The 26753-nt window shown below is 50.2% G+C and overlaps 4 protein-coding genes across 5 annotated transcripts in view, besides 8 other annotated features; 1 reads left to right on the forward strand and 3 right to left on the reverse strand.

The window, feature by feature from the left end:
• Positions 1-26753, reverse strand: part of TSPEAR (thrombospondin type laminin G domain and EAR repeats) — a 213680-nt gene that overhangs the window by 72623 nt on the left and 114304 nt on the right. The gene's annotated exons all lie outside the window — the stretch shown is intronic.
• KRTAP10-4 (keratin associated protein 10-4) lies at positions 3214-4856 on the forward strand. Its single transcript, NM_198687.2, has one exon. It carries the CDS (start codon positions 3244-3246, stop codon positions 4447-4449), a length of 1206 nt encoding a protein of 401 aa, NP_941960.2. The 5' UTR covers positions 3214-3243; the 3' UTR covers positions 4450-4856.
• Positions 3429-3946: an enhancer, noted in NCBI's record as "H3K27ac-H3K4me1 hESC enhancer chr21:45993821-45994338 (GRCh37/hg19 assembly coordinates)". NCBI's record gives its function as "activates a minimal SCP1, AML or CMV promoter by ChIP-STARR-seq in naive H9 embryonic stem cells {active_cell/tissue: H9 hESC(naive)}" and the evidence as "EXISTENCE:reporter gene assay evidence [ECO:0000049][PMID:30033119]".
• Positions 3947-4465: an enhancer, noted in NCBI's record as "H3K27ac-H3K4me1 hESC enhancer chr21:45994339-45994857 (GRCh37/hg19 assembly coordinates)". NCBI's record gives its function as "activates a minimal SCP1, AML or CMV promoter by ChIP-STARR-seq in primed H9 embryonic stem cells {active_cell/tissue: H9 hESC(primed)}" and the evidence as "EXISTENCE:reporter gene assay evidence [ECO:0000049][PMID:30033119]".
• On the reverse strand, positions 8940-10089 carry KRTAP10-5 (keratin associated protein 10-5). The gene has a single exon (NM_198694.3). The coding sequence runs from the start codon at positions 10061-10063 to the stop codon at positions 9248-9250; it is 816 nt and encodes a 271-aa protein (NP_941967.3). The 5' UTR covers positions 10064-10089; the 3' UTR covers positions 8940-9247.
• Positions 9233-9823: an enhancer, noted in NCBI's record as "H3K27ac-H3K4me1 hESC enhancer chr21:45999625-46000215 (GRCh37/hg19 assembly coordinates)". NCBI's record gives its function as "activates a minimal SCP1, AML or CMV promoter by ChIP-STARR-seq in naive H9 embryonic stem cells {active_cell/tissue: H9 hESC(naive)}" and the evidence as "EXISTENCE:reporter gene assay evidence [ECO:0000049][PMID:30033119]".
• Positions 9824-10413: an enhancer, noted in NCBI's record as "H3K27ac-H3K4me1 hESC enhancer chr21:46000216-46000805 (GRCh37/hg19 assembly coordinates)". NCBI's record gives its function as "activates a minimal SCP1, AML or CMV promoter by ChIP-STARR-seq in naive H9 embryonic stem cells {active_cell/tissue: H9 hESC(naive)}" and the evidence as "EXISTENCE:reporter gene assay evidence [ECO:0000049][PMID:30033119]".
• Positions 19044-19864: an enhancer, noted in NCBI's record as "H3K4me1 hESC enhancer chr21:46009439-46010260 (GRCh37/hg19 assembly coordinates)". NCBI's record gives its function as "activates a minimal SCP1, AML or CMV promoter by ChIP-STARR-seq in primed H9 embryonic stem cells {active_cell/tissue: H9 hESC(primed)}" and the evidence as "EXISTENCE:reporter gene assay evidence [ECO:0000049][PMID:30033119]".
• Positions 20753-21990, reverse strand: KRTAP10-6 (keratin associated protein 10-6). The gene has a single exon (NM_198688.3). The coding sequence runs from the start codon at positions 21967-21969 to the stop codon at positions 20872-20874; it is 1098 nt and encodes a 365-aa protein (NP_941961.3). The 5' UTR covers positions 21970-21990; the 3' UTR covers positions 20753-20871.
• Positions 20837-21584: an enhancer, noted in NCBI's record as "H3K27ac-H3K4me1 hESC enhancer chr21:46011233-46011980 (GRCh37/hg19 assembly coordinates)". NCBI's record gives its function as "activates a minimal SCP1, AML or CMV promoter by ChIP-STARR-seq in primed H9 embryonic stem cells {active_cell/tissue: H9 hESC(primed)}" and the evidence as "EXISTENCE:reporter gene assay evidence [ECO:0000049][PMID:30033119]".
• Positions 21585-22330: an enhancer, noted in NCBI's record as "H3K27ac-H3K4me1 hESC enhancer chr21:46011981-46012726 (GRCh37/hg19 assembly coordinates)". NCBI's record gives its function as "activates a minimal SCP1, AML or CMV promoter by ChIP-STARR-seq in primed H9 embryonic stem cells {active_cell/tissue: H9 hESC(primed)}" and the evidence as "EXISTENCE:reporter gene assay evidence [ECO:0000049][PMID:30033119]".
• Positions 22331-23077: an enhancer, noted in NCBI's record as "H3K27ac-H3K4me1 hESC enhancer chr21:46012727-46013473 (GRCh37/hg19 assembly coordinates)". NCBI's record gives its function as "activates a minimal SCP1, AML or CMV promoter by ChIP-STARR-seq in primed H9 embryonic stem cells {active_cell/tissue: H9 hESC(primed)}" and the evidence as "EXISTENCE:reporter gene assay evidence [ECO:0000049][PMID:30033119]".

A 26753-nucleotide genomic window follows, 5' to 3' on the forward strand; every position in this document is an offset into this window, starting at 1 on the left:
GCAGAGATAAGCTCGTTCACAGCCTCAGGCACAGGCCAGGTATAGCCACTGAGGATGGAGAAGGAGGGAACCGGGCGCTGCTTTGAAAAGAAGAAAGGTATTGAATCCAACATAGGAGCTTTGCCTTGAGAAACTAGAGAAAGATGAGGAAATGGAACCCACAGCAAGCAAAGGGAAGGATGGGGCAGGAGTCCACGCAATTGAAAACAAAAGGAAAATAGAGGAAACTGATTAAACCCAAGCTGGTTCTTTGAGATCCATCAAATTGATAAACAATATGGAGAACAAAAGGGGATATTGCTAAACAATTGTCAGAAATTAAAAGGCTGATAAGGGAACTCCATAAACAACACCACGTGTTGTTTATCAAAACCTCAGATAATGTGGACCAATTCCTTGATAGGCGCAAATACCAGAACTTATTAAAGAAGAAAAGATAATTGGGAGGTCCAATATCTAATAAAGGACACCTTCCAACACAGAAAAACTACAGTTTCCTGGAAAATACTACCAACCCTTTAAAGAAGAAAAAATGTCAATTCTACATCATCTCTTTCAGAAGATAGAATAGGAGAAAACACCAACTCTTTTCATGAAGGCAGTGTTACCAAACCAGGCAAAGGCATTGCAATAAGAGAAAACTACAGACCAACCAAAATCCTCAATAAAATATTAGCAAATACAATCCAGCAACATGTAAAAAGGACAATACGTTGTAGAGATGGGGTCTGGCTATGTTGCCCAGGCTGATCTCAAACTCCTGGCCTTAAATAATCCTCCTGCCTTGGCCTCCCAAAGTGCTGGAATTACAGGCATGAGCCACCACATCCAGCCTAGAGGGGAACATTTCAGACCAGATAACACTAGTCTGGAAAAACCAGCACCAACACGATTCTTAGTGGGGAAACCCCTCCCTCTAAGATCAGGTGGGTGTTAATGCACATGCCAGCCTCCTTGCTCTGTCTCCTGGGAGGGCTGGGAAAGCAACACCCCAGTAGTGTGAGCACACCTTGCTCCAGATTTTGGTTTCTAAATGCCTTCGTCCACCAAGAGGAAGCAGGGCTTCCTAGAGAAGCGTCTGATTCCAGGGATGAAACAGGGCAAATCTGAGATGAACTTGGACCCAAAAGTAAGAAAGGTCAGGGAGGGACAGCGTGTTGAAAGGGCACCAGGGCCAAAACGAAAGGACTTGAGGGCCGAAGTTGGAACCACTGCAACCACAAAATACATAGTGATCATATTGGATTATAGCTCAAGTAATAGATAAACATTCTTTAGTCCACACATAGATAAATAAATAAGGAAGCAAATAGACACACAGAAGAGCGGGACAGCTCCTCCTCCCGGGAGAATTTCAATTAGTAAGTGTGGAAGGAACAAGGCAGGGAGGAGAATCCTCAACAGAGCCCCACAGGGACCGTGCGGGCGAGGCCCCCGGAGGGGCACCAGCACTGCCGGGCAAACGCCTGGGCAGACGCAGGACAGCTGCCAAGTCTCAGACATGACCAATTACAGAGGGAAACGGCGGCACCGCGAGGGATGGGCCGCGGCCGTGTCACCTCCATGCCCCACGCACACTGCTCCTGTGGGATTCCTCCCCCAACGCGATGCCCACTCTGACCACGAGGAAACCTCAAGCAAGTCCACGTGGAGGGGCATTCTACAAAACACCCAACCGGTCAAGGTCGCTGAGGCCAAGGAGAGATTGGGCAACCGTCACAAACCAGAGAAGTCGAGGAGACCTTTCAGCCAACGCCATGTGGGGTCCTGAGCAGGACCCACCGGAAGTTGGTGCAGCTGCCTAAAGACCGTCCTGGCTGAGAAGAAACAGAGCAGCGCTGCTTTCTCAGAGCTGGGAACCAACCTGCGGTGGTGTCGGGAAGCTGGCAAAGGGCGATGTGAACCCCGCTTTTCAGCCACTATTCCCTAAAACCATTCCACGAGGTCAAGCCACACCTCACAAGCAAAGGCTGCTGAGTGCCCAGTGCTGGGCACCTGCTGTCCTGTGCTACCCTCGCCACCCCCCATGCTCCACCTGCCCCAGGCCCAAGTCCACAAGAAACACTTCTGCCGTGCTTGCCTTCCCATCCCGGGTTCTGCTCCCGTGCCCACGTCCTCATCCCAGGTTCTGCCATTGTGTCTGCTTGCTGTGGATTGAATTGTGTCCCTCAAAAGGTGCCGAAGTCCTGACCGCTGGTACATGTGAATGTGACCCTATATGGAAATAGGGTCTTTGTAGGTGATCAAGTTAAGAGGAGGCTGTTAGGATAGGCCCTACTGCAATAATGCTTTGTATCCTTATAAAAAGGGGAGATTTGGACACACACACACACACACACACACACACACACACACACACACACACACACACGGAGAAGCTGTGTGAAGATAAAGGCAGAGCTCAGGTGAGGCCACTGTAAGCCAAGGACCCCAAAGATAGCAGCAGCCCACAGGAGTGAGGGGAGCGGGGTGAGACAGTGCCCCTCGCAGCCTCAGAAGGAACCCATGCTGTCCACTGTCCACACCTCGATCTCAGACTTCTGGCTTCCAAAACCATGAGACACGGAATTTCTGTTGTGTGACCAGCCAGTTTGTGGTACTGTTTGTCATGGCAGCCCAAGGAAAAGAATACATTACAGCATACAAACCATGACTCACATTATCTTTACTTAGAACCCAAACAAACCTCTCTCCCTAAGCTTTCAATCACAGAGGCACATGATCTTGTTCAGCAGCCTAGAAAACCAAGGCCCAGCGGAGCCACCCGTAGGCACCCACTCCCCATAGCCTGGCACACACACACGGCAGAGCCACCCACAGGCACCCACTCCTCATAGTCCAGCACACACACGGCAGAGCCACCCGCAGGCACCCACTCCCCATAGCCCGGCACACACGTGGACCATGCCACCCTCCACGTGCGCCTGGGGAGCAAAGCAGCACAGCCTGAACTGCCCCTCAGCTCTTCCTCCTGAGTCTAAAACACGCACATGCGCCCCAGGCCAATTCCAAGTTTTGTAAACTGAGCAACAGCTCTTGGGAAACAAAAACACAGCTACTGTTTATTCTCCTGGAGCTGGCTGTACACCCCAACAAGGAAGGGAGGGCTTGCTGAGCCTCCTGTCTGGACAACATGCACCAAGGAGGAGTATAAAAGCCCCACAAACCCGAGCACCTCACTCACTCGCTCACCCACTCCCTCCCATCTCCCCCAGCTCAACCCCCAGCACAGCAGCATCCACCATGTCCGTCTGCTCCAGCGACCTGAGCTACAGCAGCCGCGTCTGCCTTCCTGGTTCCTGTGACTCTTGCTCCGACTCCTGGCAGGTGGACGACTGCCCAGAGAGCTGCTGCGAGCCCCCCTGCTGCGCCCCCAGCTGCTGCGCCCCGGCCCCCTGCCTGAGCCTGGTCTGCACCCCAGTGAGCCGTGTGTCCAGCCCCTGCTGCCCAGTGACCTGTGAGCCCAGCCCCTGCCAATCAGGCTGCACCAGCTCCTGCACGCCCTCGTGCTGCCAGCAGTCTAGCTGCCAGCTGGCTTGCTGTGCCTCCTCCCCCTGCCAGCAGGCCTGCTGCGTGCCCGTCTGCTGCAAGACTGTCTGCTGCAAGCCTGTGTGCTGTGTGCCCGTCTGCTGTGGGGATTCTTCATGCTGCCAGCAGTCTAGCTGCCAGTCAGCTTGCTGCACCTCCTCCCCCTGCCAGCAGGCCTGCTGTGTGCCCATCTGCTGCAAGCCTGTCTGCTCTGGGATTTCCTCTTCGTGCTGCCAGCAGTCTAGCTGTGTGAGCTGTGTGTCCAGCCCCTGCTGCCAGGCGGTCTGTGAGCCCAGCCCCTGCCAATCAGGCTGCATCAGCTCCTGCACGCCCTCGTGCTGCCAGCAGTCTAGCTGCCAGCCGGCTTGCTGCACCTCCTCCTCCTGCCAGCAGGCCTGCTGCGTGCCCGTCTGCTGCAAGACTGTCTGCTGCAAGCCTGTGTGCTCTGAGGATTCCTCTTCATGCTGCCAGCAGTCTAGCTGCCAGCCGGCTTGCTGCACCTCCTCTCCCTGCCAGCAGGCTTGCTGTGTGCCTGTCTGCTGCAAGCCTGTGTGCTGCAAGCCTGTCTGCTCTGTGCCCATCTGCTCTGGGGCTTCCTCTCTGTGCTGCCAGCAGTCTAGCTGCCAGCCAGCTTGCTGCACCTCCTCCCAAAGCCAGCAGGGCTGCTGCGTGCCCGTCTGCTGCAAGCCTGTGAGCTGTGTGCCTGTTTGCTCTGGGGCTTCCTCTTCATGCTGCCAGCAATCTAGCTGCCAGCCAGCTTGCTGCACCACCTCCTGCTGCAGACCCTCCTCCTCCGTGTCCCTCCTCTGCCGCCCCGTGTGCAGGCCCGCCTGCTGCGTGCCCGTCCCTTCCTGCTGTGCTCCCACCTCCTCCTGCCAACCCAGCTGCTGCCGCCCAGCCTCCTGCGTGTCCCTCCTCTGACGCCCCGTGTGCTCCCGCCCAGCCTGCTGAGGCCTCCGCTCAGGTCAGAAGCCCAGCTGCTGATGGACACGCCCCCCAGTGCCAGCCAGGCTCAGGTCCCACCTGAAAGCTGATAGTCGCGTCCTGAATTGCTCCTGCACTTTGACCATTTCCTGGTGTCTGCTGTTGAGCTGGACAATGGAAGAACTGAAAGTCTATACTCAATGCTGCAGCCCTCTTGCGGGGGGAGGGGGGCGCTTCTAGAAAGTTCCCATGGCAGTGGCCTCCCCTCCATATCTCCCACCTCTCATGAGGGTCAGTTCAGCCTTGACCCGTGAGGTCTCTGTCCTCCTGGCTCAGAGCCGCAGAGCCTTCTTTGGACGCCCTCAAGCTGACCAATAAAGGCCCTGAGACTGCAATGGCGCTGACACCCAGGTGTGTTGATTAATGCCTTGGCTGGAGCTCACGGCCATGGTTTTCTCCTTTGTGCACAACCCTCTGCTGTCCTTCAGGCCCCTGAGTGTTTTCCTGTGCCCAGGGGCGTGTGGTTCCCAGGGGTCCAGGCTAGACGGACATGGACGCGGGGAGCCTTGCAGCCCTTTGGCCATTTCGGGCCCTTGGGTTTGTCCCTAACCCTCCTGTGTTGTTAGTCGTGTCATAGTTCTTTTTGCTGATTTGCTTTTTAAATTATCCTTCTGCTGCACAATACTTGTCAAATAAGAATGGTGTCTTCTAGCGCCATGCTTGCCCAGAGTGTGTCCAAATGCCTCCCTAGCTTCAAAATCAGTAGTCTTCATCGACATTGCCTAAAACCTCTTGTGCCCTGTGCAGACATCACTGGCATGGTGGGAGGAACACAGACAGGCGATTGGAATTGGGTCTCTGTCGCTTCGCTTCCACCCTGTGTGAGCAGAATCATCTCCTCGACCCTCCGGCCTCTCTAAGGTCAGGGAAGTAGGACTCCCTCTTTCAGGTTTCCAAATGGAGTGGCAAGAACGACAGACAGAGCACGTGTGACCACCATGAGCCCAGGGCCAGCGGACTGCCCAGAGCAGGATGGTCTGAGGAGTTTTGGGCATTTTAAGAAGTCTTTAAAAATTATATTTGGAATAATGATGTGTTGTAACCACTGGAAGAAGTGCCAACTATTCCAATGGTTATAAAACATACTCATAAAGCAATGACGATAAGATCAGAAAGAATTTCCATGCACAGGTGTCAGAGGGTGGCCCGGGAACTCAGCCGCAGTGGAGGTGGAGTTGTGAGGACAGACCCAGAGCACTGGCCACACGGAGTCACAGTCCCGGAGTGGAAGGGAGTGCATAACTCATGGGTGAACAGACACACGGATGTCCCAGGGTGGGTGAGGGGGCATAACTCATGGGTGAACAGACACACGGACGTCCCAGGGTGGGTGAGGGGGCAAACCTCATGGGTGAACAGACACACGGACGTCCCAGGGTGGGTGAGGGGGCAAACCTCATGGGTGAACAGACACACGGACGTCCCAGGGTGGGTGAGGGGGCAAACCTCATGGGTGAACAGACACATGGATGTCCCAGGGTGGGTGAGGGGGCAAACCTCATGGGTGAACATGCCCATGGTTTTCAGCAACACAACTCAATGTGTTGATTGCAACCCATGGAAGCAGAGAGTTAAAAATAACTCCAGAGAAGGGGACTCTGTGGAAGAGTCTTCATTAAACTACAGTGCTGTTTCCCTTCACGTGAGCTGAGAACACTGCTGGTTGAGGTCCTTTGTGTCTTTACCAAACCTCACTCTGTCTTCAGAAAGTCATTTTCCAGGAGGTGTATAGAAAAGTTGAGAAACCACTAAAAACCAAGCCGACTTAAGGGATATTTATACAAAATCCCATCCAACAACAATGGGATGCATGTTGTTTAAAGTGCACGTGGAACATCCACCAACATAAACCACCGGAGAGGCCTGAGAGCAAGTCTCAGTGTCCTCAGGAGGGATGAAATCACAGGAGGGCTGAGCATGCTGCTTGGCCACACAGAATTGGAAATCATTAACAGAAAGACACTTAGAAAACTGCCACATACTTGGAAATTAAATAACACACTTTAAGATCTATGAGTAAAAATATAAATCACAATGGAAATTATGAAATATCTGGAATAAAATGAAAATGAAATCACCCCATATCAATACTTGTGGGATGCAGCTAACAAAGCATGTAGAGGAAAATGCATAGTAATTTGTTTTATTAGAGAAGAAGGCCTAAAATCAGTTGTCCGAGCTTCCAGCTTAAGAAGCTAAAGAAGCATATGTTGAACCCAAAAATAACTAGAAATAATAAAATAATCAAGAATTTAAAAACTCCACTGTGTTTGTCCATTTTGCACTGCTGTAAAGGAATACCCGAGACTGGGCAATTTATGAGGAAAGGCCCACGGTTATCTGGCTCCTGGTTCTACAGGCTGTACAAGAATGGCACCTGCTGAGCTTCTGCTGAGGTCTCAGGAAGCTTTACTCATGGTGGAAGGTGGACGGGGAGCAGGCATCACATGGTATGAGGGGAGCAAGAGAGACAGAGAGGAGGGAGTGCCAGGCTCTTGTAAACAACCAGCTGTCCATGAAGTAACAGAGCAAGACTTCACTCATTATTGTGGGGGTGGCACCAAGCCACTCATGAGGGAACCGTCCCCATGACCCAATCACCTCCCACCAGGCCCTGCCTCCAACACGGGATCATGGTTCACCATGAGATTTGGAGGGGACACATATCCACCATATCACCTACCAAATAGAAAGTGGACAAACAGGGAAATAAATAAAACCAAACCTAGTTTTTTTAAAGACAAATGAAATTGGCAAATTTCTAACTTTACTGGTCATTATAAAACAAGAGAACAAATAAATTACCAATATCGGATGTTATGGTTTGGCTGTGTCCCCACCCAAATCTCATCTTGAATTCTCACATGTTGTGGGAGGCACCTGGTGGGAGGTAATTGAATCATGGGAGTGGGTCTTTCCTGTGCTGTTCTCATGATAGTAAGTAAGTCTCACAAGATCTGATGGTTTTATACAGGGGAGTTTCCCTGCACAAGCTCTCTTCTCTTGTCTGCCACCAAGTGAATTGTGCCTTTCACCTTCCACCATGATTGTGAGGCCTCCTCAGCCATGTGGAACTGTGAGTCCATTAAACCTCTTTCTTTTGTAAATTGCCCAGTCTTGGGTATGTCTTTATTAGCACCATGAAAATGAACTAATACATCAGGAATGAATAAAAGGTTGCCACTACAGAATCTGTAGATATTTAAAGGAAACCAAACAAATAATGCAAACAACTCTATGTCAATACATTCAACAGCTTAGATGAAATAGGCAAATGACTGGAAATGCATCATTTATGAAAAGGGATACAAGAAGAAATAGAAAATCGGAATAGCCCTCTATCAATTGAAGAGACTGGACTCATAATTAAAACCCTTCCCACAGAGACAATGCCAATCCCGAATGGCTTTGCCATTGAATTCTACCAAGCATTTAGGGGAGAAATAATGCCAATCTAACCCAAACTTTTCCAGAAAACCGTGGGGTAGACACAGTGTCGGCGAGGGTGCTAGGGATTAGGGGACGGAGGCTGAGGCCTCACGGGTGGCAGGGATGCCCTTGGTGGGCTCTGGCCATGGACACAGACTCCTGGGATGAGAGGGGGACTCATGGAGGAACACCCACGCCTTGACCCTGAGATGGCCTTGCAGGGAGGGTAACTGAAAATTTACCCACTGGGGACAGTTGCCTACTTACTAAAACAGTTCCAGCCACCACCGCAGCCCCTGGAAGGCCATCCCCCCAGAAAATCCCCCAGGTCTCAGCAGGGCCTTGTCCACCTGTGCCCTCCAGTGTCGCCCATGTCAACCTCACCTAAGAGGGGCCTGACGCACGGTCCTGCAGGTGCGGACTCTGGGTCCTGAAAGCCCATGCGGAACCTGGTGCCCCCAGAGGAGGGCCTGGGGCAGTGCCAGTTTTGGGGAATCATGTGCATCCATCCACCCACTCCATGATGCTTTCGTCCTGATCGAGTCCCTTGTCTCCTGCGCAGGTGCAGCAGCCCCTCCCTCTCCCCCCGCATTGCTGCTAAGCGGGCAGAACTCTCGGGCGGGCGGCACACAGGGAGGGTGACCAGGCCTGGAGGCTGCGGTGCCCGGACCCCAGGCCAGCTTCCTGGAAGGTGACCCTGCAGGGTGGGCTCTCCCAGGTGGGACAGTGGGTGGGACAGTCCTGGGGCCTGGAGAGCCCCACAGCCCAGGGCACGGCAGCCAATGACCAGGCTCAGGAAGACCCAGGCATGGAGGCTGAGCCGGGACTGAGCCTTCCTGGGCGTGGCTGTGAGTTCCACCTGGTGACCCCCTGGAGGAGTTAGGCCACTGTCCCCCGTGACTTCTAGGTTAAGTCACTCATTCATAGAAACAGTCATGGCTAGAGACCAATCTGAGCTCAAAACCATGTATCCCCAGGAGCACTACAGAAAAAGAGAATCAGGCGACCAAGGGGAGTTTATTGGGGAGCAGGAGGAGGTGCTGACAGGTTCAAGTCGAGGCCAAGTGACATGGGGCAGAGAAGCTGGGAGGGAGGACAGGGGACCCAACAGGCAGGTGGGCCCCTGCTGGGAGGCAGGAGCTGGGGAGCTTCGAGGATGGAGATTCCTGGGAGTATGGAGGGGGGGGTCACCTCAGCACATGGGGGCCCCGTCCCAAGCGGGGGCAACCTCCTAACCCGAGTCAGGACCAGTTGGCCCTGGGGGATGTGCACATCAGCAACTGGACTCCTGGCCTGAGCAGAGGCCTCAGCAGGCCAGGGGGGAGCACGCGGGGCGGCAGAGGAGGGACACGCAGGAGGCCGGGCGGCAGCAGCTGGCCTGGTAGGAGGAGGCAGGGGCACAGCAGGAGGAGATGGGCAGGCAGCAGGCGGGCCTGCATATGGGGCGGCAGAGGAGGGACACGGAGGAGGAGGGTCTGCAGCAGGAGGTGGTGCAGCAAGCCGGCTGACAGCTAGACTGCTGGCAGCATGAAGTGGAAGCCCCAGAGCAGACGGGCACACAGCAGATGGGTTTGCAGCAGACAGGCTTGCAACAGACAGGCACGTAGCAGGACTGCTGGCAGGGGGAGGAGGTGCAGCAAGTCGGCTGGCAGCTAGAATGCTGGCAGCATGAAGAGGAATCCTCAGAACAGGTGGGCACACAGCACACGGGCTTGCAGCAGACAGGCACACAGCAGGACTGCTGGCAGGAGGAAGAGGCACAGCAAGTTGGCTGGCAGCTAGACTGCTGGCAGCATGAAGAGGAATCCTTAGAGCAGGTGGGCAGGCAGCACACAGGCTTGCAGCAGACGGGCACGCAGCAGGCCTGCTGGCAGGGGGAGGAGGCGCAGCAAGCCGGCTGGCAGCACGAGGGCGTGCAGGAGCTGGTGCAGCCTGATTGGCAGGGGCTGGGCTCACAGGCCGCCTGGCAGCAGGGGCTGGACACACAGCTCACTGGGGTGCAGACCAGGGTCAGGCAGGGGGCGGTGCCGCAGGGGGGCTCACAGCAGCTCTCTGGGCAGTCGTCCACTCGCCAGGAGTCAGAGCAAGCGCTGGAGCAGACGGACATGGTGCACGCGGCCATGCTGGGGTGGGGAAGACGTGAGCTGGGAGCTGGGGGAGGTGTGAGTGAGTGAGTGTGTGAGTGAGTGAAGGAGGGAGTGAGTGAGTGAGGTGCTCAGGGCTGTGGGGCTTTTAAATCCCTCCCTGGCGTGTGTTGTCCCGACAGGAGGCTCCACAAGCTTCTCTTCCTTGTTGGTGTTTAGAGCTGGTGGCTGGAGATGCGTCATTCATGCTGGTTTATCTGTTTGTTTTTCCCTCATTAAACTTGTGTGTATGTTGCAGGGCCGTGTTTCTTCATCGGTTCTTATTTTAGCCCCAGAAATGTGGTGGAAAATATTTCAAGCAAACTTTTGTTGAGTAGAGGTTTTAGAGATGAAGACTTCTCTAAAGGGAGGAATTCTAGTTTCACCTATCCTGTGTTTGGACTGATTGGATATATTTTATTACTTTTAGCATATTAAAATATAAATAGGTAGAAAAATATGCATTTCTTATAAAATGCAGCTGGCACAGAGGGTACGATGAAGCTAAGTGGCCCTCTCTTCAACCCCTTGTGCCTCGTAAGGGGAATGCTCAGAGATTTGGTATCTGGTGGATCTGTGCTTTATCCTTGTCTCTTCAGCTCTTCCATGCCACCCTCAGAGCCCTCTCTCTGTTTTATTTGAAGCTGCGCTCTGGGTTTTCTCCATTTTTATTTCCTCATGGTGACAGATCAAGTACTTTTTCACATATGGTGATTTTAGGACATACATTTTAAGATTTCTTTCTTGCCTAAAAATGTACTCAACTTTACCCTCACACTTATATGATAGTTTAGCTGGGTATATAATTCTGGTTTTAAGTCAGAATTATTATTATAAATAATAACAAAAAATCTGTTTTCTCAAAATGATGAACCTGTGTCACCATTTTTCTGTAGTGTCCAGCGTTGCTGATGAGAGACTGAGGTTGGTCATTTGTCATTTTTTATAGTTTGTCTCTCTCTCTCCGTTTAACTCTCTGGGAACATTTGGTTTTCTTTTTATTCTTCTTTTGTTTCTATGCGTGTGCATTATTTTACTTTCTGTGGTTAGAATTCATTGAGCCTTTCAATGTGGAGACTCAGGAAGTGTTTTGCGCTCTTAAAAATAACTCATCTCTCAAGGTCTTTCCTTTTGTGACTTTAATTTTGTCTCACGATGAATGAAATACATTTTTGGCTCACTGTAATGATGTTATGTTGAGCATTTAAACGTTTTTCCCCTCGTTTCACTGGACATCAGTTAAGCTCTGCTCATTGGTGGCAGTTCATTTGATTTTCTGAGTAAAAGACTATTTTATTCCAGGGCATTGGGGTCCTGATCCAGTTTACATTCTAATTTGTTTCCATCTGTTTCTCTTTTCTACAAATATATAAAGGATTTTAAAGAGCCTCCCTTTTTGTTAGACAATTTTGATTTTATTTTTTATAACTCTTTGAATATCCTTTCAGTGATTATTAGTAGAGGTTGTGCGAGAACTGTGTGCTTAACCCACTTTCTGGGACTGAAGGACTCGATGCTCCTTTCAGGAAATGACAGGAAAGCCAGGAAGGCTAGGATGACGTCATATCAGCGGGTGTGCTACAGACATGCACGGCGCAGGTGCGGTCTCCACATCAGCCACCGCGTGAGGGGTGACTCTGCAGCCCATTTTGACAGTTGCAGAAATGATGAGAGAAGATAAGTAACCTTGAAAGAGGACAGCTGGCCGGCAGTGAACCTGACAACCGCGAGCTCTCACTCCTTTCCCTCACGGCCATACATGGCTCCGTTCTGTCACACAGCTCCCAGAAGAGTGCGTGCTTCCTGAGTGGCAGGCAGGGAGGCAGGTGGTCCTGAGCCAGCGGGATGTGGTAAGGCTGACATGGCTTCTGGGACAAGCCCTGGGGCCTGTATGATAATTTGCTTTAGTTTTCCCATCGCTATCTCTGGCAGCCTCCTTAATCGAATGGGTGTGGTGATTCCTTGTCTCTTTATTCCTATTTGTGATCCACGCCCTCTGTCGCTCCCTTCTCCTGGTGTCTGGACCACCCATCACTGTCCAAAGTGTCTTTCCACAGTCATTGCTGTGCCCACAACAGCTCCAGGGTCTCAGTGTGCCTGATCTAAGTCCACGCCCTGCGCTCAGTGGAGACGTGTCTTTTTGGATCATGGAAATTTTCACTGGGGGCCACCATGGCAGTTTCCACGGACAATTGAATGATCACACCAATTTCTTTCTTTCTCTCTTTCTTTCTCTTTCTTTCTTTTCTTCCTTCTTTCTTTCTTTTCTTTTTTGACACACAGTCTCACTCTGTCACCCAGGCTGGAGTGCAGTGGTGCTGCAGGCCCCACCTCCCGGGTTCAAGCGATTCTCCTCCCTCAGCCTCCCGAGTAGCTGGGATTACAGGTGTGCACCACCACATCCAGCTATTTTTCTTTCTTTCTTTTTTTTTTTGTATTTTTAGTAGAGATGGGGTTTGGACATTTTGGCCAGGCTGGTCTCGAACTTATGGCCTCAAGTGATCCATCCGTTTCAGTCTCCCAAAAGTGCAGGCATTACAGATGTGAGCCACTGCACCCGGCCAGATCACATCATTTCTTAAATCAAGCAGACACTCTGGGGATCTGAGTGAGCTGAGCTGCAGGGATTAAACAGCCCTGGCTGGGGGAGGGAGGTGCTGGGAGGGGATGTGAGTCTGGAGGGCAGGGTGGCCCACGGCCGTGTCTTCTGCAAGTGACACACGTTTGGATTCTTCTTTTCCAAAATGTAGTCTTTTGTTTTATTTGACTCCCTTTCATCGTGGCTGGCTGCCCAGCACAACTCTGGAGACGCGATGACAGCAGCCCTCTGGTCTTGTTTCCAAAGTTAACAGAAGCACCTCCTGCAGCTCCGCACTAAGCCGGTGTTGGCTGGTTTGTCGCAAAGCCTTGGTCTCGTGCATGCAGTGTTTTTTCACTCTAGTTTACCAAGAATTTTGCCTCAGGCTTTTAAAGAAGGAGTGAGTTTGTTCATGTATGTGTGTGTGTGAATGTGTGTGTATTAATCTACTGAGTGTTCCAGTGGCTTTTCTACTTCTATTTTATGAGTATAGTTAATGATACCCTTTGTAACTTGAGTGATCTAAGATATACATTACTTGATAATGGCTCATTATCCCTTTTTCCCCAGCTTTATTGAGATGTAATTGACAAATAAGAATTATATAAATTCAGGATGTCTTGATACATGTACACATTGTGTGATGATTACCACGGTCAAGCTAATTAATATGTCCATCACCCATGCAGTTACCTTTATTTTGTGATGAGACATTTAAGGTGGACTCTCTTAGCAAATTTCAGTGTTACTGCGTCACATTCTGTGTTACAGTCAACTGTCCCCGTGCTGCACATGAGGTTTCCAGAACTGACTCATCCTGCACAGCTGAAGCTGTATCCTGTCATCAACATCAAAGTGGATAAAGCACACAGTTCTTGCACACCTGTATTAATAATCGCTGAAAGGATATTTAAAGAGTTATAAAAAATGAAAACTCCCTGCACCCCCGCCCCTGTGAACCCCCACTCTACTCTCTGCTTTGCCGAGCTTGGCTTTTTTAGATTCCACATATAAGCGAGGTCTGCAGTATTTGTCTTTCTGTGGCCTGGGTCACTTCACCTAGCATAGTGTGTGCAGGTTCATCCATGTTGCCACTAATGACAGGATCTCCCTCCTTTCTATGGCTGAATCGTATTCCATCGTGTGTATACACCACATTTTCTTTATCCACTCATCTGCTGATGGGCACTTATGTTGCTTCCATATCTTGGCTGTTGTGACTAGTGCTGCAGTTAGCATGGCAGTGCAGGTATCTCTTTGAGATCTGGCTTTAATTTGTCTTGTATATACAAGATTGCTCATCACATGGTAGTTCTATTTTTAATTTGCTGAGGAGCTTTGACACTGTCTTCCATAATGGCTGCATGTAACAGCTTAGTTTTTCTTTAACATAGGCACATAGAATCTCTTGCTTTATCTTTTTAAATGGGATTGATTTACAGTCCTCTCTCCCTCTCTCTCTCTCTCACACACAATTATTCCTGGTTTTGGCATCAGGGTCTCACCAGTCTTATATTAGAGGAATCCAGAAGATCTCTGTCTTCTTCTGAGCTCTGGAATATTTCAAGTATCACAGGAAGGTCTTATATTGAAGGCTGATGATATACACCTTTAAAACATCTGAGTCTGCCTTCTGAAGAATATCTTTCAATACCATTTCCATATTTTCCTGGACATCATTGTATTAAAAGTTTCATTTTGTTATTCAGTGTTGGTAATTTATATTTTTTAGAACACAGTCCATTCATTTATATTTTCAAATTTTAGGATAAACATACCCATGCTACTTTCTTTTACATAAAAACAAAAATCTCTCAATCTGTGGGCATGTTTCTTTTTCAATCTTTAATGTCTGCTTATTTTTATTAGACTGTATTTTTATTTTCTTTAGATTTTCCTTGATGAGCATCTGCGGATTTTTGTGGACATTTGAAAAGAGGGGGTCGTGCTCCTTCTTGTTAGAGATTGTTGAGTAAAAGTTTCAGAAAGCGTCATGGGTGGTAAACTTTCTGGATCCCTGTTGTTTAAGAACAGCCCTCCTGCTGACACCTGCCACAGCAGAGTCTAGGTGCAGAATTTCTTCCCTCCACCTTAGTAGAGGTTGGGCCACCAGTGTGTCTCAGATTTGCATAACTTTAATCTTCTTGTGAAGCTTTTCCTCTTTCCAGAACCTGGCACTATTCTCTCCTTGTACTTCATTCATTTCACCAGACCCCTCCCTAGTCACTGTCATCAGCTGTGTTCATCCCCTCGGTCCCATCTTCTTTTAGTTCAAGGAACTTTTATTCCCATATGGGTTTGATGATTTTCTTTCATTCTTGGCTTCTCTCCCCACTGTGATCCCAGAATCACAGACCCTGAGTCTCCTGGGTTCATCTCCCTTAGACCTCAGGCTTTTCTTGGCTTCATCTCTTTGTCCTTCTGCATTGGGTTTCGGTCATTTTCTGAACTGGGGGTCATGGTGTCAGCTCTTCTGCCTCAGGGTCTGTTATGAGGACTGCCATTGAATTCCATATGTTTGGAGTGTCACGATTTCAGTCTCCAGGAATCCAAGGTGTTTTCCTTTCTTCTCCTTCTCCTTTTTGGTAGCACTCTCTTCTTGTTTCATGGAGTAACGGCCTCTTTGTTTCATGCATTATTGTTTGTTTAGACTTTGCTTCTCTGTCATGCTGTGATTTCCTCATGCGTCTGAGGACCCTTAGTTGTTGTTCACGTTTTTAAGTGAGGGTCTAAACTGTTTGGCTTTCATTGCTGAAAGGTTCTCTGCATGTAGACACATGTCTTCTTCTCACAGAGCTGACACTGGGGCTCTCAGGGTGGGGCCTTGTCTGCCGCTGGCTGAGTACAGGGGCTTTGGTTCATTTTGGCATCCAGAACTTCCTGGGGTGTGGTCTCTTCCTCTCCATCCTAGGACCCAGGCTGGGAGCCTCCTGGGCCACCCCTGGCCTGCCTGGCTCTCCTGCTGGACTCAGGGCACCAGGCGGTTCTTCTTTAGAACTCAACCCTCAGTTAAAGACGCCTGAGTGCCCATGGCTGTCCTCATGTGCTGTCCCTGTGTCAGGGTCTCTGGGAAAAGCCATTTGTCTTCAGTCCTGCTTCTGCCTTTCTTTCTGTTGAATTTTACAGTCAAGAAAACCCGATCTTTTTGTCTTGTCTGTCGCAGAAAATCCTTACTGACCTGGTCTGCAGATGGCATGCCTGTTTTCTATCACTGTTCTGGTACCACTCATTTTTATTTGGATGAAGGGGAGGTGGAGGCATTGGGGAGTAGCCAGCCCAAACAGAGGGCTTAGGCTTTTAAAAAAAATTTACCAAGAGAAAATTCACAAGCCATGAAGCTCACCTGCTGCAAGGACATAATCCATTTGTTTTTAGCGTATTCCCAGTGTTTCTCAGCCATCACCAATATATAATTTTACAGCATTCCTCCCTCCAAAAAAATCACACCAATCAGCACCACTCCCCATGTGCCCCTCCCCCAGCCTCAGGCACCTACTCATCTACTTTCTTTCTCTGTAGATTTGCCCATTCTGAGCCTTTCATACAAATAGAATCCCACCAGGTTTCGTACCAGGGATGCAGGGATGGTTTAACATTCACAATTCAACACCACATAAACAGAATTAAAAACAAAAATCACATGATCAATAGATGCAGAAAAAGCTTTCGACAAAATCCAGCATCTCTATGATTAAAACTCTCAGCAAAATCAACATACAAGGGACATACCTCAATGTAATAAAAGCCATCTATGACAAACCCACAGCCAACATAACACTGAATGGGGAGAAGTTGAAAGCACTCCCTCTGAGAACTGCAAAAATGTAGGGATGCCCATTCTCACCACTTCTCTTCAACATAGTACTGGAAGTCCTAGCCAGAGCAATCAGACAAGAGAAAGAAATAAAAGGCATCCAAATCGGTACAGAGGAAGTCAAACTGTCGCTGTTTGCTGATGATATGATCGTACACCTAGAAAACCCCAAAGATTCCTACAAAAAGCTCCTAGAACTGATAAAAGAATTCAGCAAAGTTTCCAGATGCAAAATTAATGTACACAAATCAGTAGCTCTCCTATACACCAACAGCGACTAAGCTGAGAATCAAATCAAGAACTCAATCCCTTTTACAATAGCTGCAAAAAAATAAAATACTCAGGAATATACCTACCCAAGGAGGTGAAAGACCTCTACAAGGAAAACTACAAAGCACTGCTAAAATAAATCACAGACAACACAAACAAATGGAAACACATCCCATGTTCATGGATGGGTAGAATCAATGTTGTGAAAATGACCATAGTGCCAAAAGCAATTCAATGCAATTCCCATCAAAATACCACCATCATTCATCACAGAGTTACAAAAAAAATTCTATAATTCATATGGAACCAAAAAAGGGCCCGCATAGCCAAAGCAAGACTAAGCAAAAAGAACAAATCCGGAGGCATCACATTACCTGATTTCAAACTATACTATAAGGCCACAGTCACCAAAACAGCATTGGTATAAAAATAGGCACATAGACCAATGGAACAGAATAGAGAACCCAGAAATAAACCCAAATACTTACCGCCGACTGATCTTTGACAAAGCAAACAAAAACATAAAGTGGGGAAAGGACACTCTATTCAACAAATGGTTCTGGGATAATTGGCAAGCCACATATAGGAGAATGAAACTGGATCCTCATCTCTCACCTTATATAAAAATCAACTCAAGATGGATCAAGGACTTAAATCTAAGACCTGAAACTATTAGAATTCTAGAAAATAACATGAAAAATCCCTTCTAGATATTGGCTTAGGCAAGGATTTCATGACCAAGAATCCAAAAGCAAATGCAATAAAAACAGAGATAAATAGCTGGGACTTAATTAAACTAAAGAGCTTTTGCATGGCAAAAGAAACAGTCAGCAGAGTAAACAGACAACCCACACAGTGGGAGAAAATCTTCACAATCTGTACATCTGACAAAGGACTAATATCCAGAACCTACAACAAACTCAAACAAATTATAAAGAAAAAAACCAAACAATCCCATCAAAAAGTGGGCTAAGGACATGAATGGACAATTCTCAAAAGAAGATATACAAATGGCCAACAAACATAGGAAAAAATGCTTAACATCACTAATGATGAAGGAAATGCAAATCAAAACCACAATGGGATACCACCTCACTCCTGCAAGAATGGCCATCATCAAAAAATCAAAAAATAATAGATGCTGGCACAGATGTGGTGAACAGGGAAGACTTCTACACTCCTGGTGGGAATGTAAACTAGTACAACCACTGTGGAATACAGTGTGGAGATTCCTTAAAGAACTAAAAGTAGATCCACCATTTGATCCAGCAAATCCACTACTGGGTATCTACCCGGAGGAAAAGACGTCATTATACAAAAAAGATACTTGCTCACGCATGTTTATAGCAGCACAATTCGCAATTGCAAAAATGTGGAACCAACCCAAATTCCCATCAATCAACGAGTGGATAAAGAAACTTTTATATATATAATATATATATATTTATTTATATATTTATATATATAAACTGATATATATGTGTGTGTATATATGTATATATATGTTATATATATGTATGTGTGTATATATATGTATGTGTGTGTGTATATATATATATGATGGAATACTACTCAGTAATAAAAAGAAATGAATTAATGGCATTCACAGAGACCTGGATGAGATTGGAGATTATTATTCTAAGTGAAGTAACTCAGGAATGGAAAACCAAACATCATATGTTCTCACTCATAAGTGGAAGCTAAGCTATGAGGATACAAAGGCATAAGAATGACACAATGGACTTTGGGGACTGAGAGGGAAAGGGCGGGAAGGGGGTGATGGATAAAAAACTACAAATAGGGTGCAGTGTATACTGCTCGAATGATGGGTGCACCAAAATCTCACAAATCAACACTAAATTACTAATCCATGTAACCAAACACCACCTATTCCCCAATAACCTAAATAAAATATAAAATAAAAATAAAAAATAAAAAACCAAAATAGAATGTCACCACATGTGGGCTCTCACTAAGCATCATGCTTTCAAGGCTCATGCATGTTGTAGCCTGTGTCAGTATTGGATTCCTTTTCATGGCTGAATAATATTCCCCACGGGAATGGGCCACATTTTGCTTGTGTGGATGGGCTGTGTTTTGCTTTGTCCTCTGATGGACATTTAGGCTTCTTCCACTTCTTGGCTGTTGTCAGTCATGCTGTGTACATGGGTACACCAGTCTCTGGCTGCTGTCAGTCATGCTGTGTACATGGGCGCACAAATCTGTGTGTGGACATTTGTTTCATTCCTCTGAGGTAGATGCCTAGAACTGGAGTGGCAGGATCACAGGGTCACTTTGTGAGTGACCATTTTGAGGGACGGTTTTCCAAGGTGCTTTCACTAGGAGTTGAAGCTCTGATGAAGCAGAAGACACATCGAATGAGGACCCAGAGCAGGGGTCAGAGGTGAGACCCCCCCACCAGGAGATGTCCTCCCTGGGGATGGCCAGACAGGCTGGGTCCTGTCGGTGCCTCGGACGAGGGCAGGTGGGGACAATGACAAACATGGAGGAGGTCAGAGAGCCAGCCCCGGCCCCTCCACCTGGCTCTCTGTTCTGACCTTGTAGCCATCAGTGGGCATAGTGAGGTGGGTGGGGCTCAGACACGCATGTGTGGGGAGCCCCTCCCCAGGATGGTCCTGGAGCCCTAGGATGAAGGCTCGGCCCCTGCCAGCTACCCGGAGAACCAGGGCAGGAAGAAAACATCTCTGCCCCTGGAGGCTCTCATTTGTCCCTTCATGGGGACGTGGCTTTGCTTCCAAGGAGGTGGACAAGGCTGTGTCAGTTTGGCCTCCGGCCCTGGGGACGGCTGCTGCTGGCTGTCCTGGGTCTGCCTGGAGGGGAGTGAGCGAGGCGGCTGTGCTGACCACAGGGAGCTCCATGGGGTGGGACTCCGGGAGGTCCTCCTGCTGGTGCTGGTCGCCTCTGGCGTTGACATGCAAGGGTCATTTGCTGGGGCAGGAGGCAGACCTGGGCTCTCAAATGCACACAGCGACCTGGCAGAAAGAGTGCAGCGGCTCGTACCACTCGCCCAACGCGGTATCGTGGACCACGTCTGAGTGCCAGAGCGGAGGGTGGCAGACAGAGCTGAGGGCTATTTGGAGAGACCTAGGAGGCTGGGGGTGTGGGGACAGGGTCCTCGGGGTCAGAGTCCAGGACCACAGGACCAGGAGGGAGCCAGGACCCTGAAAGTCTAGGCGAGGCCGCATGGGGCAGGGGGGCCCGCAGGCTTGGTTAGTGGGTGCCATGGTCCCTGCCCATCTGTGTTCTCGCCAGCGATGCCTGAGCAATGGGTATTCCAGAACCCCACGAATACTGGGCTGCTGGGCTCGAGTCCTGGGGGAGGGCGTGGTCCCCATGTCTTACTGTGGAGGAGATGAGGGCTGCAGGGATGGGCACTGTGGTCCATAGCTGGTCTCCCCAGGGGTAACAGGAGGGGTGAGGCTGCTGGCTGGAGCTAGGCCCCGGGTGGGCTACCCCAGTCCTGGGGGGCAGCCATGAGCTGGGGAGGGTGAATGTGGCTCAGGGGCCCAGAGTGCTGCCAGGGTCCACTTTGTCCCGAAACTCCTGGCCTTGGTTCCAGAGGCAGCTTTCCTAAGATGGGCCGGGGGGCCATGTGCTGGGGTTGGGGGCCCACGGGGCTAAGAGGGAGACTGGCCTTCAGGGTTCACAGAGGCCAGCACCAGAAGGCATTGCTTCCTGCCTCATCCCATGCCCCTCGGGGGTCCACAGACAGGATGAAAAGTCGACAGAGACAGAGGGGTGGAGCCAGGCCTGCTGGGGGTCAGGACTCTCCCTGCAGTCAGGGGTGGCATCACTTCCCACCTCACCCTGTGCCCCCCGGGGGTCCACAGACAGGACAGAGGTTGGTGTGAGACAGAGGCGGCTTTATTAGAACTAGAGGGGGTGCTGCCCAGGGTGGAACCAGGCCTGCTGGGGGTTAGTTCTGCAGAACTTGGGTCTGGGGGAGTAGCTGGGGTCTCTCATGCAGCCAGCATCTGGGAAGGACAGGGGGAGCATCCTGGTCCCTAAGACAAAGAGCCTGCCCCATCTTCTGAGGGTGTCAAAGCCAGAGAGGGCAGAGCTTGCTGGGGCAGCTGGGAGGTCAGCCCCTGGTGGGAAGGGACTCCGGATCACATCCAGGGCTGTCAGCAGCTGGACTTCTGGCCAGAGCAGAGGCTGTAGCAGGCAGGGCGGGAGCACATGGGGCGGCAGAGGAGGGAAACACAGGAGGCCGTGCGGCAGCAGCTGGGCTGGCAGGAGGAGGCAGAGGCACCACAGGAGGGGACGGGCACGCAGCAGGTGGACTTGCACACAGGGTGGCAGAGGAGGGACACGGAGGAGGAGGATCTGCAGCAGGAGGCGGTGCAGCAAGCCGGCTGGCAGCTAGACTGCTGGCAGCATGATGTGGAAGCCCCAGAGCAGACGGGCACACAGCAGGCGTGCTGGCAGGGGGAGGAGGTGCAGCAAGCTGGCTGGCAGCTAGACTGCTGGCAGCATGAAGAGGAATCCTCAGAGCAGGTGGGCACACAGCACACAGGCACGCAGCAGACGGGCACGCAGCAGGCCTGCTGGCAGGGGGAGGAGGTGCAGCAAGTTGGCTGGCAGCTAGACTGCTGGCAGCATGAGGGTGTGCAGGAGCTGGTGCAGCCTGATTGGCAGGGGCTGGGCTCACAGACCGCCTGGCAGCAGGGGCTGGACACACAGCTCACACAGCTAGACTGCTGGCAGCACGAAGAGGAAATCCCAGAGCAGACAGGCTTGCAGCAGACGGGCACACAGCAGGCCTGCTGGCAGGGGGAGGAGGTGCAGCAAGCTGACTGGCAGCTAGACTGCTGGCAGCATGAAGAATCCCCACAGCAGACGGACACACAGCACACAGGCTTGCAGCAGACAGTCTTGCAGCAGACGGGCACGCAGCAGGCCTGCTGGCAGGGGGAGGAGGCACAGCAAGCCAGCTGGCAGCTAGACTGCTGGCAGCACGAGGGCGTGCAGGAGCTGGTGCAGCCTGATTGGCAGGGGCTGGGCTCACAGGTCACTGGGCAGCAGGGGCTGGACACACGGCTCACTGGGGTGCAGACCAGGCTCAGGCAGGGGGCCGGGGCGCAGCAGGGGGGCTCACAGCAGCTCTCTGGGCAGTCGTCCACCTGCCAGGAGTCGGAGCAAGAGTCACAGGAACCAGGAAGGCAGACGCGGCTGCCGTAGCTCAGGTCGCTGGAGCAGACGGACATGGTGGACGCGGCCATGCTGGGGTTGAACTGGTGGAGGGTGAGGGAGTGAGCCTGTGAGGTGCTGAGGCTCTCGGGCTTTTATTCCACCTGGCCTTGTTGTCCCCGGGCCCACAGCTTCCCCTTCCGTGTTGCCGAGAGCTGGAGTCTGCCGGGATTAGGGGTGTTTGTTCGCCCGTGATGTGGGCCAGCTCATAAATCTCCCATCACATCTGGGCTGTGTCCCATCCCATGTGGATCCCTGGCGGCAGGAATTGGGCGGGGCCTGGTCCCAGCTGGGTTCGGGGAGCTGGGAGAGCCACAGGTCGCGGCATCGTCCACCCCTGGCCCCAGCAGCCCCGGGACACAGAGTCCCTCTGCAGGAAGCCGGCCTCAGGAAGTGTCCTTGTGGTGAAAACCCCTCATCCAGCGTGGTCCTTCCCCCATCACCGGACACAGGACTGTGGCCATCTTCTGAGGGACAACCTGGGGCCCATGAGCCTTCATTGACCTGCCCTGGGCCATGGCATGGTGGGGGTGGGGGGCAGCTGTAACTGTGCCCAGACCTCTTGGCTTTGAGCTCTGGACGACTTCTCATCCCCACAGCCTCTTCACCTCCGGCCCTGTTTCGTGTCCACCTCGTCTTTGTGTTTTGGAGGCAGCAGGACCTGTGTGTTCCAGGGCAAGGACGGTGGGCTTGGCCCCTCCCTGCTTGGACAGCATGACAGCCTTCTGGGCTGTGGTTTTGGGTTCTGAACCTGCAGAGTAACCGTGCTGAGCAGCGGGCGGTCAGCAGCCCTCGTCCCCGCCTGGGGTGGCTCCTCTGTGTGCTCTGCTTCTCCGAGGCTGCCCGTCAGCCCCCACCCAGCCTCCTGCTGGGCCCATTTCCCAGCCCTGTCTTCCAAGCCCTGTGCCAGGCCTCTTAGTGTCACCACCTTAAAATTAAGGGACATCTGTCCAAAGAACCCGCACAGAAGACACAAAATGGGTCCATGAGAAGTTGATCTCACTGCAAACCCATTGCCAGTGTAAACGAAACATAAAATCCTAAGCCCCTCAACTGACTAAATGGATCCCATCTTGCCCACGGGGACCCCCGAAAAACTGCGTTCCTGGCCATGACAGGAAGGGAGGTCAGACACGCCTCGTTACACCCCCTCCCTTTAGGGTTTCGACACAACCACTACCCAGCACTAAAGTTAAAATAGAGACCGTAAGACCCACAGAGCAGACTCTGGCAATAAGATATCAAATTACAAACAGGACCTCAGGCCGCGCCAGGCAAGGGACAAGCCGCGTGCCCTACACTGAGAGGACGGACTCTGCTCTCACGCCACAGCTGCTGTTTTTCTACAGTGGCTAAACACGCACTGGCCCCGCGATGAGGATGAGCAAGGTTCAAACGACTGCAGCTCATCCACCAGCAGATGCCAACTGACCACGTTCCACAGCCATGACCACAGCTCTGACTGGGCAGGAGACTGACTTCAGGAACCTCCTCCTGATAAGGGACCCCCAACCATGGACTGGCTCCAGCCGGTTTACAGAGGCTGTGCACTGGAGTGCCTTTGTGTCCTGAGAAGACTTCTGAGGTTTAGGGCCTCATTGCGACCCATTGACATGATAAGACTCCACCCTGTAAGAAGTACATTTCAAGTGGTCCGTATTCAGAAAACAGGCCCTGGCAAGTCCAGGCAGCTCCCTTGCAGATGTGACAAGCCACACAGTACAGACATCTGGGAAGAGTGATAAGACTCACAGAAGTCAGAGGGGAGGAAGAAAAAGTGACGGATGGCTAACACATAAAAGGAAAGAAACTTTTGCCATTGAGAAATCAAATGTAAAGTGGGGAAGGGGACAAGATGTAACCTTATAAGGGGATAATGAAACTTAGGTGACGTCCAGGAAGCCTGTGACCCCATAGTACTCAGGCTGCGAGGAACTGGGCGAGGGACCTGCACACTAGGGGATAAATTGCTTGTTGAAAGTGTGCTGGGTGTGCCCGCCCATCAGACACCAGATCTTGCAAGACCGACATTAAAGTCTCACTTTCACTGTTCTTCATGCCTCTAAGTCCATTCTTTGGATTTGGACGGGTCAGTGTGTTTCTCACAACCGCAGAGTGAAAACAGGTCGTATGTTACATGCATGTTTGTTCAGTTCCTCCTTCGTGAATATTCACTATTCCTCCATAACCTATTGCACATGTGTATTCAGCCAACCTGGTCAGCGTGGAGCTCCTGCCCCAGCCCCTCCTCCTGGCTCTCGTCTTGGCCAGAGGCTGTGCTTCCCGGCCTGCAGGATGGCTTTCTTGCAGGCTGTGCCCCTTTAGAAGAAACAAAGTCTCCTCTTTTTTTCCAAACTTACGGATCTGTGATTTTTTTTTTTTTTTTTTGAGATGCAGTCTCACTCTGTTGCCCAGGCTGGAGTGCAGTGGTACGATCTCAGCTCACCGCAGCCTCCACCTCCTGGTTCAAGCAATTCTCCTGCCTCAGCCTCCCGAGTAGCTGGGATTACAGGCATAAGCCACCATGCCTGGCTAATTTTTGTATTTTTAGTAGAGACAGGGTTTCACCATGTTGACCAGGCTGGTCTCAAACTCTTGACCTCAAGTGATCCACCTACCTTGGCCTCCCAAACATGCTAGGATTACAGGCCTGAGCCATTGCACCTGGCCAGATGGTGATTTTTTTAAATGAACACAAGCAGTCACCCAATTCTCTTCTCAGGAAGCAGCTACTTTCACCCATTTATTCTCTTTCTCTCTGTATCTCTCCATCTCTCTCTGTCTCTGTCTGTCTGCCTCTTCCGTATATGCACACACACAGCCCATTCTCATTATTCCCAGAGGCTCTGTTCTATACAGTCTCCACCAGCACCGAATAACCAAATACTGAACCACTGCTCCTACAGGAAGCACAGGGTTATGGTCTCATGAGCCTCTGATCACAACATTCCCATCACCTAATCAATGCATAGACATGTCTTACGAATGCTTCTGTCTGAAGACACCTTACTGAATCTATATAGTTGATTTATCAACACTGAGCCCCAGCCAACAGCCCTACAGAGCCTGAATGAAGTTGGTTGAACACATGTGTTTTCTCTGTAAGACGTGCTGGAGCCTTCTGAGCTCCGGACACCCAGCAGCACAGCAGCACTGCACTGGGGCACTTTAAACAACAAGATCAGAGCATCGTGGAGGAACGTGCGGCACTGAGGAGAACATAACAAGGACACCTGTTTACCATATGCGAGCTGAGACAGGAAAGCAAAACATCACCTCATTCTATTATGTGTATGTGTAAACATATATGCACATACACATACATACATATAATGCCTCTGTACACATAAATTTTTAAAATGCAAATTATGTCATACTCTACCCACTATGTTTCTGTAAACATGGAGCTCCTTTCCTGTGAATACATAATGATCTCTGTCTTGTTTACAGCTGCATAGAATTCCATGTGGTCTGTGTGTTCATTTTCTATTGCTGTGGAACAAAGTACCACAAGCTTAGTGGCTTCAAATAACACACATTTATCATCTCGGTTTCTGTGGGTCAGGAGTCCAGGCACAGTTAAATTGGGGTCTCTGTAGGGCTGTATTGGAGTGTCTCATGGGAAGGTTCAATTGGAGAAGGATCCACTTCCAAGCTCATGTGATTGTTGGCAGAACTCAGTTCCTTGTAGCTTCTTGGACTAAGTGCCTCAGTTTGTCACCAGCTGTCAACTGGAGGCTGCCATCATCTCTTTCCATGCGGCCTCAACGGGCAGCTCGCAATGTGCTGGCTTTTTCACAGCTAGCCAGGGAGACAGAGTCCTCCCGAGACGAGCATTATGACCTTATGTAATGGGATCATGCACATCCCATCACCCTCTCTGTGGCTCCTTGTGTCTATACACGTGTCACAGTCCCAACCACACTCAAGGAGTGTGGGGCACACAGCCAGTGACCACTAGGAGGTGAGGGACATGGGGCCACCCTAGAGTCTGTCTCCCGCTGTCTGGACAATGTCATGGCTGTGATACCTTTGCACATACCTTGTATCCACCCAGGAGTATCTACAGGATGCTTGCTTAGTGATTCAGGCTTAAAGGCATGAGGTTTTGAATTGTGATGTGTAGCAGCAAACTGCCTGCCAAAGCCGTGGAGCAACCTCAGCCCAGCAGCAAGTCATCTGGGTAGTCTGCCCACACCCTCGCCAACCCATGTTGGGAACATCAATGGTTTTCATTTTTTCCAATATAAAAAATGATATCATATGGCCATTAAATTTGTTTTATCTCATTTTAAATGGGGCTGAGCACGTTTTCTCATTTAAGAACCATGTATATTTCTTTCAATTGTCTCTGTATCCTTTGCTCACTTTCTGTTATGTTTCTGTTATTGATCTTAATAACTCGTGGGAGCTCTTTGGATATTAAGCAAATTAGCCCTTTCTCTGATATACAGATAGGAAATGTGTTTCCCATATTGTTGTCTTTTGACTTGGTTTATAATGTTTTCTCTCCTGCAATTTAAAAATTTTTACATAATTAGTTTTATCGGTTTTTTAAATGGCTTCGGTGTTTTACTCAAAACTTAGAATAGCCCTTTCCACTCTGAGATGATTTTTCTTTCCCTTCCTATCATTATTGACAGGTGTATTAACATCCCCCACTATGATTTTCCCTTTTCTCTATTTCTACTTTTAGCTCTGCCAGTTAAAAAAATTAAAAAACAGTTTTTTATTTTAATTTTTTAATTTTATATTTTAAGCTATGTAATTAGATACATGCAGATTTAGAATTGTTACATCTTCCTGGTAGGTTGAC

Source organism: Homo sapiens, chromosome 21 (genome assembly GCF_000001405.40).
Source record: "Homo sapiens chromosome 21, GRCh38.p14 Primary Assembly".
NCBI classification, from domain to species: domain Eukaryota; kingdom Metazoa; phylum Chordata; class Mammalia; order Primates; family Hominidae; genus Homo; species Homo sapiens.

Excerpts from the sequence above, each read along its gene's own strand:
- KRTAP10-4 (NM_198687.2), top strand. The coding sequence starts at position 3,244 with ATGTCCGTCTGCTCCAGCGACCTGAGCTACAGCAGCCGCGTCTGCCTT.
- KRTAP10-5 (NM_198694.3), bottom strand. The coding sequence starts at position 10,063 with ATGGCCGCGTGCACCATGTCCGTCTGCTCCAGCGCTTGCTCTGACTCC.
- KRTAP10-6 (NM_198688.3), bottom strand. The coding sequence starts at position 21,969 with ATGGCCGCGTCCACCATGTCCGTCTGCTCCAGCGACCTGAGCTACGGC.